The following is a 12,216-nucleotide window of genomic DNA, read 5'->3' as shown; positions in this document are numbered from 1 at the left end:
CCAGCACTTTGGGAGGCAGAAGCGGGTGGATCACTTGAGCTCAGGAGCTGGACACCAGCCTAGGCAACTTAGTGAAACCCTGTGTCTACCAAAAATACAAAAAAATTAGCTGGGCATGGTGGTGGGCGCCTGTGATCCCAGCTATTTTGGGGACAAGGCGAGAGGATCGCTTAAGACTAGGAGGTGGAGGTTGCAGTGAGGTTGCAGGAAGTGGATATCACACCACTTCGCTCCAGCCTGGGCAACAGGATGAGACCCTGTCTAAAAAGAATTTTACTTTCTTCCTGGGATGGGGAGGGCATCTTCCATATGGGGGTTTATCTCGTTTTCCAGAGAAAAGAGGGAGGTCAGAGTGCTTTTCCTGCACCTACTGTTTTTCAAGTGCACTTAGCTGAAACAATCCATATGCCAAAGTGGCATATTTTGGAGTGGTGTCATCTGCCACCCTCAAAATGAAAGAAATGGTTCATAACAGCTCTAATAATTGTTCAACAACCGGCAACAATGCAAAAAACAGGTCACTAACAGGTGAAAAGATAAACAAAGTGTGGGACATTCATATAACAGAATACAACTGAATAATAATCATGCCTATAATCCAAGCACTTTGAAAGGCCAAGGCAGGTGGATTGCTTGAGTCCAGGAGTTCGAGACCAGCCTGGGCAACATGGCAAAACCTTGTCTTTACAAAAAACACAAAAATTAACTGGGCGTGGTGGTGCACAGGTGTAATCCCCGCTACTCGGGAAGCTGAGGTGGGAGGACTGCTGGAGCCTGGGAAGTTGAGGCTACAGTGAACCATGATGGTGCCACTGCACTCCAGTCTGGGTGACAGAGTGAGACCCCATCTCAAAAGAAAACAAAAAAGAAACAAACTGCTGACATATCCAACAACACGAGTGAGTTCCTTTTTTTCTTTTTTTTTTTTTTTGAGACAGAGTCTGGCTCTGTTGCCCAGGCTGGAGTGCAATAGCGTGATCTCGGCTCACTGCAACCTCCGCCTCCTGGTTTCAAGTGATTCTCCTGGCTTGGCCTCCCAAGTAGCTGGGATTACAGGCGCACACCAACACATCCAGCTAATTTTTGTATTTTTAGTAGAAATGGGGTTTCACCATGTTGGCCAGGCTGGTCTTGAACTTCTGACCTCAAGCAATCCACCCGCCTTGGCCTCCCAAAATGCTGGGAACATGAGTGAGTTTCAAACATCTTATGCTGGGGAAAGAAGCCCAGCTCAAAAGGCTACACGTTGTATGATTCAGCTTATATGACTTTCTGAAAAAGACAAAGTTACAGGAACCAAAAACAAATCAGTTAGGGCCAGGGGCTGGAGTAGGGGACAGAGCACAAAAGGGCAAGAGAAAAATTTCTTTTTTTTCTTATTTTTTTTTTTTTAAGACTGAGTCTTGATCTGTCACCCAGGCTGGAGTGCAGTGGCACAATCTTGGCTCACTGCAGCCTCCGCCTCCCGGGTTCAAGTGATTCTCCAGCCTCAGCCTCGCTAGTAGCTGGGACTTCAGGCGTGTGCCACTATGTCTGGCTAATTTTTGTATTTGTAGTGGAGACTACAAGGGGTCTCACCGTGTTGCCCAGGCTGGTCTCAAACTCCTGTCTTCACGTGATTCGCACACCTCGGCCTCCCAAGGTGCTAGGATTACAGGCATGAGCCATCACACTCGGCTACTGGTAAGAGGAAATTTCTTAGGGTGATGGAAATAATTGTCTTGATTATGGTCATGTTTTAATGATATACCTGTATGTCAAAACATGCAATTTCGGCCAGGCATGGTTTAAATATGAGCAGTTCATGTTCAGTCAATTACATCCAACAAAGCTGGGAAGGAGGGAAGTAAGAGAGGGAAGGGATGAAAGGAGAGAAAAAGAGAAAACTAATGTGGCAATCATGAACAAAATGAAAGATATATACATCCTGTGACTCAATGTCTTTGTTTTTTTTTTTTTTTTGAGATGGAGTTTCACTCTTGTTGCCCAGGCTGGAGTGCAGTGGCGCGATCTCGGCTCACTGCAACCTCTGCCTCCCGGGGTTCAAGTGATTCTCCTGCCTCAGCCTCCTGAGTAGCTGGGATTACAGGTGCCTGCCACCATGCCCAGCTAATTTTTGTATTTTTAGTAGAGACAAGGTTTTACCATGTTGGTCAGGCTAGTCTTGAACTCCTGACCTCAGGTTATCCACCCGTCTTGGCCTCCCAAAGTGCTGGGATGGGCCAGGCGCCGTGGCTCACGCCTGTAATCCCAGCACTTTGGGAGGCCAAGGCAGGCAGATCACGAGGTCAGGAGTTCAAGACCAGCCTGGCCAACATGGTGAAACCCCATCTTTACTAAAAATACAAAAATTAGCCAGGCATGTTGGCGCACACCTGTAATCCTAGGTACTCAGGAGGCTGAGGCAGGAGAATTGCTTGAATCCAGGAGGTGGAGGTTATAGTGAGCCGAGATCACGCCACTGCACTCCAGCCTGGGCCACAGAGCAAGACTCTGTCTCAAAAAAAAAAAAAAAAAAGCAAAAACAAAAAAGTGCTGGGATTACAGGTGTGAGCCACCATACCCGGCCATCATTTATTGTTTTTTATTTTATTTTATTTTATTTTTAGAGACAGGATTTCACTATGTTGCCCATGCTAGCCTCAAACTCCTGGGCTCAAGCAGTCCTCCCACCTCGGCCTCCCAAAGTGCTGGGGTTACTGGGGTGAGACACTGTACTCACAAATGTCATTTTTTGAAAACTATGCTTCACTAAAGATCCAGTCTTAAGGATACTGATTCAGGGACATTTACTGCATCATCACAGTGGCAAAACTCAGGAAAGTCCAGGAATTGTCCATCAGTAGGATAACCGTTGATTATACTATGGCAGAGTTGCACTATGAATCATGTAGCTACTAAAAACAAAAGTTAGGTATACGTGTATAGATGGTTAAGTGGAAATAGCAAGTTGCACGGTAACTGTATAGTATGATTCCATCCTGTGTGTATTCTAGTTTGCTCCAGCACTGAAAAAGGGTCTCACAAGAGGGCAGTTCTACTGGTTACACTTGACGGTTACCAGGGTAACACTGCCCCCTAGGGGATATCCTAGAGATCCCTCTACAGACAGCCCCTGACTTGATTATGATAGGTTTATCGGGATGTAACCCCATCGTAAATCAAAGAGCATCTGTATTCGAAATACATTTCATTACAAATTATCTTCCTGAACACTCTAATGCAACAGCTCTTATCAAGGTCCGCAGGGACCAGACCCTTGCCAAACTCAACTGTCAATTCTCTTTCCTCATCTTCTTCAACTCAGGGACACGTGACACAGCTAACCCCTCTCTCTCTCCATCTTGAAATATCTTTTTCAGGCCAGGTGTGGTGGCTCATGCCTGTAATCCCAACAATTTGAGAGGCCGAGGTGGATGGATCACTTGAGGTCAGGAGTTCGAGACCAGCCTGACCAACATGGTGAAACCCCATCTCTACTAAAAATACAAAAATTAGCCAGGCATGGTAGTGCGCACCTGTAATCACAGCTACTTAAGAGGCTGAGGCAGGAGGATCGCTTGAACCCGGGAGGCTAAGGTTGCAGTGAGCCCATATGGCGTCACTGCACTCCAGCCTGGGCGACGGAGCGAAACCCTGTCTCAGAAAAAAACAAAACCAAAAATAAAAACCAATAAAAGTCCTTGGCCGGGCGCGGTGGCTCACGCCTGTAATCCCAGCACTTTGGGAGACCGAGGCGGGTGGATCGCGCCTGTAATCCCAGCACTTTGGGAGGCCGAGGCGGGTGGATCACGAGGTCAGGAGTTCAAGACCAGCCTGGCCAAGATGGTGAGACCCCATCCCTACTCAAAAAAAAAAAAAAAAAAAAAACTACAAAAATTAGCCGGGCGCGGTGACCGGCGCCTGTAATCCCAGCTACTCGGGAGGCTGAGGTAGGAGAATCACTTGAACCTGGGAGGCGGAGGTTGCAGTGGGCCGAAATCGAGCCACTGCACTCCAGCCTGGGCGACAAAGTGAGACTCCGTCTCAAAAAAATAAAATAAAATAAAACAAAAATAAAAAATAAAAATCCTTAACACGGCCCACGAGGCTCCATGGAATCTGGCCCCAGCCTGTCCACTCAACCTCATCTACTACAATCTGGGCACTCAAAATGTGGTCTGCGGATCAGCAGCATGGAAGTCACCTGGGAGCGAGTTAGAACAGCAGCCTCTCAGGCCTCCCTCTTCATCTGCTGGATCAGAACTTGAACTTTTTAGTTTGAGTAGAGCGTCTTCCATGCTTACAAGCTTCCCCTTCACCCTGATTCAGCCATAAGGTTATTTCATATTCCTCACTTGCCGCTCCTGGAAACTGACCAGAAGTACTGGCATCGCGCGTAGGTACAGGCAAATACGCACCGGCTCTTGCGCAGGCGCACTGCGTCTCCGTCGGAGCGCTGCTATTTGAGTACGCGTGCGCTCAGAGGAGCGGCGAAGGAGGCAGGGCCTATTTGCTGGGCTGTCCGGGATGGGGGTGGCCGGGACCTGAAAGTAGGAGAGGGGTTTCCGCTTCCGGCAGGAGTCGGAAGTCACTATCTCCCGGGTGAACGGAGCTTTCGCAGCTGGAGAAGGTGAGTGCTGGTGCGGCTCGTGCGAGTGGGCGTTGGGGGTGGGCAGGACTGGAAGTTCCTCTACTCCGTGCGTTTACGGGGTCCTGGAGGAGGCTCCTGGGACCTCGAGCTTGGGGGAAAGCCGGTCGGGGAGACTGACTCCCCCCGACCCCATCCTTCCAAGCGCGACTACCGGGACGCCTGGCTCCTCCCGGCGGCCGTCGGGAGGCGATGCCGAAGCTTTAGTGAGTCTGGAGGAACAGCCAACCCCCCACCTCTTGGGTACCAGCAGATTCGGGGGATGACTCCTCTGCCATCCCCTTTTGGCGCTCTTGGACTTAACGTTGTCACAGGACAGGCTGAGGCCTCTGCATTCCTTGTGCAAGCCAGACCCCATTCATGGGATGGGGAGACTGTAGTCCCTGGGCAAAATGAGCTTCTGGGGCTCATCCGTAGATTTTGTTTGGACTTTTTTTTTTTTTTTTGAGAGTGAGTCTTGCTGTGTCGCCGAGGCTGGAGTGCAGTGGCGCGATCATAGCTCATTGCAGCCTCGACCTCCTGGGCGCAAGCTTCCCACTTCAGCTTGCCGAGTAGCTGGGACTACAGACTCAAGGCTAATTTTTGTAATTTTGTAGAGATGAAGGGTCTCACTCTGTTTCCCAGGCTGGTCTGGAACTCCTGGCTTCAAGCGATCTTCCCACCTGGGCCTCCCAAAGTGATGAGATTACGGGCGTGACGTCCCAAAGTGATAGAGTTACAAGCAAACTGATTGAGTGATTTATTCAGTAATGGTTATTGCTGGGCACGGTGGCTCATGCTTGTAACGCCAGCACTTTGGGAGGCCGAGGCGGGAGTATCTCTTGAGCCCAGGAGTTCCAGACCAGGCTGGGCAACATGGTGGGTCCCTGTCTCTACAAAAAATACAAAAATTAGCTGGGCGTGGTGCCGCGGCTAATTTATATTTCAGAGGTAGAGGGGCAGGGGGAGGATCGCATAAGGAATGTGTGAGGGAAAAAGACATTGAGGATGAATCCAAGGTTTCTGATTTGATTATCCGGAAAGATGGAATTGCTGTTAGCTGAGATGAGGAAGACTGGAAGAGCAGGTTGCAATGTCAGGGGCTTGGTTTTGGACATGATATGTTTAATCTTAGGTGGAAGTTAGACATCAGGTGGAGGTGTGGCTGAGGCAGATAGATCAGAGTCTGCAGTTCAGACTCAAGGCTGGAGAAGCAGGTGGCCTCAGTGTAGAGTAGGCATGAAGCCCTAAGACTGGGTGAAATCTTCATGTGGTGAGTATAGCCAGAAAGGAGAGGATCCAACAATTAAACTCATGGGCTTTTTGCTCTGTTGCCCAGGCTGGAGTGCCTCGGCTCACTGCAACCTCCGCCTCCCAGGTTCAAGTGATTCTCCTGCCTCAGCCTCCCGAGTAGCTGGGATTACAGGCGTGCACCACCATGCCTGGCTAATTTTTGTATTTTTAGTAGAGATGGGGTTTCACCATGTTGGTCAGGCTGGTCTCGAACTCCTGACCTCGTGATCTGCCCACCTCGGCCTCCCAAAGTGCTGGGATTACAGGCGTGAACCACTGCACTCAGCCTTTTTTTTTTTTTTTTTTAGATGAAGTTTTGCTCTGTTGCCCAGGCTGGAGTGCGGTGGCACAATCTCAGCTCACTGAAACCTCCGACTCCCAGGTTCAAGCGATTCTCCTGCCTCAGCCTCTCTATTAGCTGGGATTACAGGCATGTGCCACCACGCCCAGCTAATTTTTGTATTTTTAGTAGAAATGGGGTTTCACCATGTTGGCCAGGCTGGTCTCCAACTCCTAACCTCAAGTGATCTGCCCACCTTGGCCTCCCAAAGTGCTGGGATTATAAACGTGAGCCACAGCGCCTGGCCCAAACTCACGTGCTCTCTTCATTGGAGCAAGTTGGCAGAGAGGCAGGAGCATAGGAGACTAGCAGGAGCCACCAGTGAGGCAGAGGACAGGGAGCACATGGCATCCTGAGAGCCACATGTGCTCTCAGGGGAGGAAGGACCTCTGGAATGGGAGGACTGCCATTGGGATTTGCAGTATGGAGCCACCAGTAACCTAAGTTTGGAGGCAAGGGGTGCAGAGAGATGGGTGGGAATGCAGATGGCTGTACACTAAAACAGCCTGCAGAGAAAAGGATCATAGCTGGAAGAGGATGAAGAGTTTTTTTTTCCCCCTTTTTAAATGAGGAGAGAGGTAATAACAAGTGTGTGAGAGTGATCCAGTGGAGCTGGAAAATTTGATGTTGCTCAAAGAAAAGGGGATGGGAGCCAGGGCAGAATGAACAAATTGTTTTTGCAGGAACTTACTTCCATAGTAAAGGAGGCATGCCGAAGCTGGGCATGGTGGTGCACACCTGTTGTCCCAGCTACTGAGCAGGCTGAGGCCAGAGGATTGAGGCTTTAGCAAGCTGTGATCATGCCACTGCACTCCAGCCTGGGCAACAGAGCAAGACCTCATCTCTTAGATAAATAAAGAGGGTGGGTGAATGGCTGAATGAGTTGGTCCTAGGAGCTGTCTTTGGATTGCTTCTATTTACTCAGTGAACTGGAAGCATCACAGTTAAGAGTTGGGGGTGTTGGCTGGGCGTGGTGGCTCACGCCTGTAATCCCAGCACTTTGGGAGGCCGAGACAGGCGGATCACGAGGTCAGGAGATCGAGACCATCCTGGCTAACACGGTGAAACCCCATCTCTACTAAAAATACAAAAAATTAGCCACGCGTGGTAGTGCATGCCTGTACTCCCAGCTACTCGGGAGGCTGAGGCAGGAGAATCATTTGAAGCCGGGAGGTGGAGGTTGCAGTGGGTCGAGATCATGCCACTGCACTCCAGCCTGGGCGGCAGAGCAAGACTCCATCTCAAAAAAAAAAGAAAGAGTTGGGGGTATTACATAGGAAGTGATCAGCAGATAATGAATGAAACTCCACTGTTTATTCTGGAAGACACTGGCAGGCTGCTGACCTCCCCGTCACAGTGGAACGATGCTAGAACCAGCAGTCGTGTGTGTGTGTGTTGGAGGAGGCGCCATAGGAGGCTCAGGGATGGCAAACACAGTGCCCTGAGCACCGTGCCTCGCAGGGGAGTTGGGCTCAGTGGTAACTGCTGCCGTTTCCCCACCCACCTGCCTCCTGGACATCTGTTCCTAGATATCCCTCTGCCACCCAACCCCATCATTTTCTCCAAAACCCTGTCCTTCCTATGTGTTAGACATCAGAGAATGATGCCACCTTGTCCCTCTAGCCACTATGTCCCCGCCACAACCTTGGGAGTCATCCTGGACTTTCCTTCTCTCGTCACACTCACTCACTCTGCCGCCATGTCTCCTCTGTCTCTCTCACCCTCTGCCATCTCTACCCCAACAGCCCTGTCCTGGCTGTGACTTTGTCTTCATCCAGATTATGGCTCACACCGCAGTTCCTCAAAAGCACAGGGTGACTTTGTCCTTTCACTCCTTGTAGCTCCCAGGATCCATCCAAACACCCAGAACCCTCCCACCTGTCCCTCCTCTCTCCCTCACCTGCCAGGGGACGGACAGCTGCCCTGAGCCTTCACACAGTGTTCCTCTACTCAGAAGTGCCTGTCCCCACTTCTCTGCCCTGCAGTCTGTCATCTGGATCGAGGCCATCAGATAACCTGAGTGTCACTCCTCCTGGATGGTACTTACATGTCCTTTGCCAAGAGGAGCAGCCAGAATAAAATCACCAGTTCCTAGGCTCTTAGGCTCCACCCGGCCCTGAACAGCTGGCTTGTCTTGGAGTCTCTTGTGCCACCCTCCCCAGGAACAGTGGCTTCCTTGTATTGGCGCCAGCGATGATGGGCCAGCTCTGTGCTAAGTACTTAACTTACCATTCCTGGTGTCAGCCCCACAAGTCTCCTCTGAGATAGCAACCTTATTTCGACTTTTTTTTTTTTTTTTTTTTTGAGACGGAGTCTTGCTCTGTTGCCCAGGCTGGAGTGCAATGGTGCGATCTCGGCTCACTGCAGTCTCCGCCTCTTGGGTTCAGGTGAGTCTCCTGCCTCAGCCTCCTGAGTAGCTGGGGTTACGGGTGCCTGCCACTATGGCCAGCTAATTTTTGTATTTTTAGTAGAGATGGGGTTTCACCGTGTTGGTCAGGCTGGTCTCGAACTCCTGACCTCGTGATCCGCCCGCCTCAGCCTCCCAAAGTCCTGGGATTACAAGTGTGAGCCACCACACCTGGCCTTTTTTTTTTCTTTTTTTTTTTTTATGCAGGGTTTCATCCTGTTGCCTAGGCTGGAGTGCAGTGCCTGGATCATAACTCTGGATCATCACTGAAACCTGAAACTCCTGGGCTCAAGCGATCCTCCCATCTCAGCCTCCCAAGTAGCTGGGACTACAGGCCTGCACCACCATGCCTGGCTAATTTTTAATTTTTTTTTTTTAGAGATGAGGCCTCACTATGTTGCCCAGGCTGGTATCCAGGTCCTGGCATCAAGTAATCCTCTCACCTTAGCTTCCCAAAGTGCTGGCTGGGATCACAGGTGTGAGCCACCATGCCTGGCCTTGTCTCTGTTTTATAGACGAGGAAACTGTGGCACAAAGAGCTTAAATAACCTGCCCAGGTCACGCAGTAAGTGAGAGAGATGGGGTTAGAGCCTCGTCTCACCCCTTCCATCCAGAGTGGGACAGGGAATTGTCCTCCTGCATCAGGACTGAGGGCCTCGTCCCTCAAGGGCAGAGGCCCCGGGACCACGGTGCAAGTCCCAGACCCTCTTTCCGGCCTGCTTTCTAGAGCATTGAGCTGGGGCGCTGCGTGGTTTCCTCAAACCACTGACATCTGCCACTCCCCACAGGCTCATCCACCTGCAGACATGGGGCGCAGAAAGTCAAAACGAAAGCCGCCTCCCAAGAAGAAGATGACAGGCACCCTCGAGACCCAGTTCACCTGCCCCTTCTGCAACCACGAGAAATCCTGTGATGTGAAAATGTGAGTGGGGAACAGGGCAAGGGATCCAGCCTCCCCACTGCCTCTTCCCCGCTGTTCTCCATCCTGCCCCTTGCCTCCCTTGGTGAAGGCGTCATCACCCACAGGCCCAGGACGCATTGCTCACCAGTCCCTTCTCTTGGTCTGTTTCAGGGACCGTGCCCGCAACACCGGAGTCATCTCTTGTACCGTGTGCCTAGAGGAATTCCAGACGCCCATAACGTGTATCCTTGGAAACCTGGGCTTTTTCCAGAGGGTGGGGAGGGGGCTGGAGTCCGGACCCTGCTCATCTGGCCCACTGTGTGCCCTGGTGCAGGGCCAAAGCCGTCCAGAGGAACAGGTGCCACCTAGTGATTTCTGTGGGGTGAGAAGATGCAGGGCAGGGTTCCAATGCCAATGATCGCCCTTGACCTAAGTGGCCCAGATCTGTCAGAACCCGTGGATGTGTACAGTGATTGGATAGACGCCTGCGAGGCGGCCAATCAGTAGCGACACAGAGGACCCGCCCCCTGAGCAGCCCCGCGTACTGTGGATCCAGCTGTTCGGTTCTGGTCCAGAGACATTCCAGGGGTCCAGGGTGTGGGTCCTGGGCTGTCACAGCCGTGTGTGTGTGTGTGTGTGTGTGTGTGTGTGTGTGTGTGTGTGTGTGTGTAGTGGGTGTGCGTGTGGGTGTGGGTGTGAGTGAGTGTGGGTGTGTGTGGCTGCACGTGTCACTGGGGTGGCCGTGAGTGTGTGCTCACAGGTACGCGGTGGTGTCGGGTTCCTGGGCCTGAGGGGCCTGAACTGATCTCACTTGGCTCCGAAAGCCTTTGCTGTGTTCCCTGCAGCCCCTGGCCCCCCAGCCTTGGGGCTCTGGCTCCCCCCGGCGGAATTGGGGGACTGTTTCCTGACATCCTGGACAAGGGAAGCCCACTAGAGGCTGGAACAGGACCTCTCCAGCCTCCTCACCAGCACCGTGCCCATCTCAACTGGACTTCCCGCTCTCCTTCTCCACCTTCTAGTGCCCGTGGCCGGGGATTCAAAGCCGCCGTTCCCCAGGTCCCTGGGCTGGGCCCTGACAGGGAGCCGCCCCCCTCCCCATGGTAACCAGGAAGCCCGTTTCATGTTCAGTTGCTTTTGTAGAGGAAGCAAGGGCTGGGATGGGGACAGCTGTCAATCACAAGCCCTTAAATAAAGCAGCCAGCGCACATCCCTTGCTGTCCGTGATGTCTTGGGTTCTGCGTCTGCCTGGTCACCAGAAGAAGGAGAGGGGACCTGAGGCTCTGACGTTCGGGAGGTGGCCTGGTGGCCCATGTGACCAGCCCTTCAAACCACCCAGCGTTTTATTCAGTCAGTAAGCATTCAGGGTGGTGGAGCAGGCAGACATCTGGCCAGGTGTTTACAGCAGTCACAATAGGAAATGGGGGAGGTGAGACAGAACAGGTGGTCAGAGGAGGCTTCTGGGAGGGGCAGGCTGAGACAGTGACACCGTAGGGCCACCTCTAGCCAGACGCTGACCTCTGGCCTTCCTGCGTCGCCCCAGTGTCCTGACAGCCACTTTGTGGGGCAGGTGCCAAGCTAACCCCAAGTTCAAAGATGAGGAAACAGAGGCTAGAGGTGAAGGAGGTCACTGGCCCAAGACCCTACAGCCAGAAAGTGGCACAGGGGGGATTTGAACCCAGGAAACGAGGCTCCACAGCTTACAGTCTGACTTCTTGTGAGCCCAGAGTCCAGGCTGAGGGAACAGCTTACAGGCCGTTCTGGAGGTAGTGAGTGGAAGAGGGACACGGGAGGGAAACATGAAAGGGGCCTTTATTCAAGGGTGGTGAGGACTCTCAGAAGGCTGGTGTTGGGGCGGGATGTGTGTGGCCGATGGGGAGCACCTGAGGGCTGATGTCCCCTTAGCTGGTCGCACCGGTGACAAGGACCACAACACCCAGCAACCTGGGGCAGTGCCAGACCCTCCACCTGGCCTCATGAGCCCGGGTGGCAGGTGACCTGTGCTTCAGAGTCCTCGTTGCTACAGTGCAGGGGATGAAAGCACCTTCTTCCCGGAGCCATGCTGAGGATGGAAGTGCCAGGCATGGTTTGAGCGGCTCTGGGGCCCACCCAGGGCACTGACGGATGTGAACAGCGGGGGGAGACATTGAGCTGGCCCGGAAGCCCTGGCTGCCAGACTGGGCTGCTGGGTCTGGCCTGTGCACCCCCTCAGGCCCACTCTGCCATGACATGTCTTCCCTGGTTATCCCGCCACCTCCAAGATCCCAGGTAAGGTCTGCTAGCCCTGGCAGGAGCCGGCACACATGCGCAGAGTGGTGGACAGGCACCTAGGTTTAGGGTGATGGCCCTCTGGGATCCAGCAAAAAGGGGGCTCATTCCTCTGGCACCCGAGGCCCTTCCTGCCGCCCGCCCACCCCAGCCTCACAGGCTAAGTGCTAATATGGTGCTGTTTTCCCGAGGAGGCAGGGCCCTGGGCCAGGCCCGGATCCTCCTCAGCATAGCTTCCCCGCGCCGGCCCAGGGGGAGCAGGACTTGCGGTAGCCAGGCCAAAAGCGCCTGGAATCCGGTTTACGAGGCCCCAGGGGCTGCGTGCGTCTGTGCGCGGGTCTTCTGGTGTCTGCCTCCGCAGGTCTCCACGTTCCAGCCTCAACTCCTGCCCTCCCTGGGGA

At 52.8% G+C, this 12,216-nt stretch overlaps 1 protein-coding gene across 4 annotated transcripts, besides 5 other annotated features; it reads left to right on the top strand.

The window, feature by feature from the left end:
• Positions 2,955-3,249: an enhancer, noted in NCBI's record as "tiled region #7075; K562 Activating non-DNase unmatched - State 1:Tss". NCBI's record gives its function as "activates a minimal TATA promoter and a strong SV40 promoter by Sharpr-MPRA in K562 cells {active_cell/tissue: K562}" and the evidence as "EXISTENCE:reporter gene assay evidence [ECO:0000049][PMID:27701403]".
• Positions 4,573-10,757, top strand: ELOF1 (elongation factor 1). 4 transcript variants are annotated; one of them, NM_001363675.4, is made up of 6 exons: positions 4,573-4,612; positions 8,228-8,458; positions 8,574-8,629; positions 9,438-9,571; positions 9,722-9,792; positions 9,993-10,757. In NM_001363675.4, the coding sequence occupies exons 4-6, from the start codon at positions 9,456-9,458 to the stop codon at positions 10,055-10,057; spliced, it is 252 nt and encodes an 83-aa protein (NP_001350604.2). In that variant the 5' UTR covers positions 4,573-4,612; positions 8,228-8,458; positions 8,574-8,629; positions 9,438-9,455; the 3' UTR covers positions 10,058-10,757. The 4 variants fall into 4 exon arrangements, with proteins under 4 accessions (NP_001350604.2, NP_001350603.2, NP_115753.1 ...); NM_001363674.4 differs by lacking the exon at positions 8,228-8,458 and having other exon boundaries at positions 8,550-8,629; NM_001363673.3 differs by lacking the exon at positions 4,573-4,612 and having other exon boundaries at positions 8,336-8,458; positions 8,550-8,629.
• Positions 9,178-9,377: an enhancer, noted in NCBI's record as "active region_14024". NCBI's record gives its function as "activates an Ori minimal core promoter by ATAC-STARR-seq in GM12878 lymphoblastoid cells {active_cell/tissue: GM12878}" and the evidence as "EXISTENCE:reporter gene assay evidence [ECO:0000049][PMID:35858748]".
• Positions 11,036-11,155: an enhancer, noted in NCBI's record as "active region_14023". NCBI's record gives its function as "activates an Ori minimal core promoter by ATAC-STARR-seq in GM12878 lymphoblastoid cells {active_cell/tissue: GM12878}" and the evidence as "EXISTENCE:reporter gene assay evidence [ECO:0000049][PMID:35858748]".
• Positions 11,239-12,210: an enhancer, noted in NCBI's record as "H3K4me1 hESC enhancer chr19:11662408-11663379 (GRCh37/hg19 assembly coordinates)". NCBI's record gives its function as "activates a minimal SCP1, AML or CMV promoter by ChIP-STARR-seq in primed H9 embryonic stem cells {active_cell/tissue: H9 hESC(primed)}" and the evidence as "EXISTENCE:reporter gene assay evidence [ECO:0000049][PMID:30033119]".
• Positions 11,575-11,869: an enhancer, noted in NCBI's record as "tiled region #1596; HepG2 Activating non-DNase unmatched - State 12:CtcfO". NCBI's record gives its function as "activates a minimal TATA promoter and a strong SV40 promoter by Sharpr-MPRA in HepG2 cells {active_cell/tissue: HepG2}" and the evidence as "EXISTENCE:reporter gene assay evidence [ECO:0000049][PMID:27701403]".

The sequence above is a fragment of the Homo sapiens genome, chromosome 19 (assembly GCF_000001405.40).
Source record: "Homo sapiens chromosome 19, GRCh38.p14 Primary Assembly".
NCBI lineage: Eukaryota > Metazoa > Chordata > Mammalia > Primates > Hominidae > Homo > Homo sapiens.
This window is presented reverse-complemented; position numbering and strand designations above follow the sequence as displayed.

What these genes read in the sequence shown, in the direction of transcription:
- ELOF1 (NM_032377.4), top strand. Translation starts at nt 9,456, where the DNA reads ATGGGGCGCAGAAAGTCAAAACGAAAGCCGCCTCCCAAGAAGAAGATG. An exon ending in AAATCCTGTGATGTGAAAAT is followed by an intron (nt 9,572 to 9,721) that starts GTGAGTGGGGAA and finishes GGTCTGTTTCAG; the next exon opens with GGACCGTGCCCGCAACACCG. An exon ending in ATTCCAGACGCCCATAACGT is followed by an intron (nt 9,793 to 9,992) that starts GTATCCTTGGAA and finishes TAAGTGGCCCAG; the next exon opens with ATCTGTCAGAACCCGTGGAT.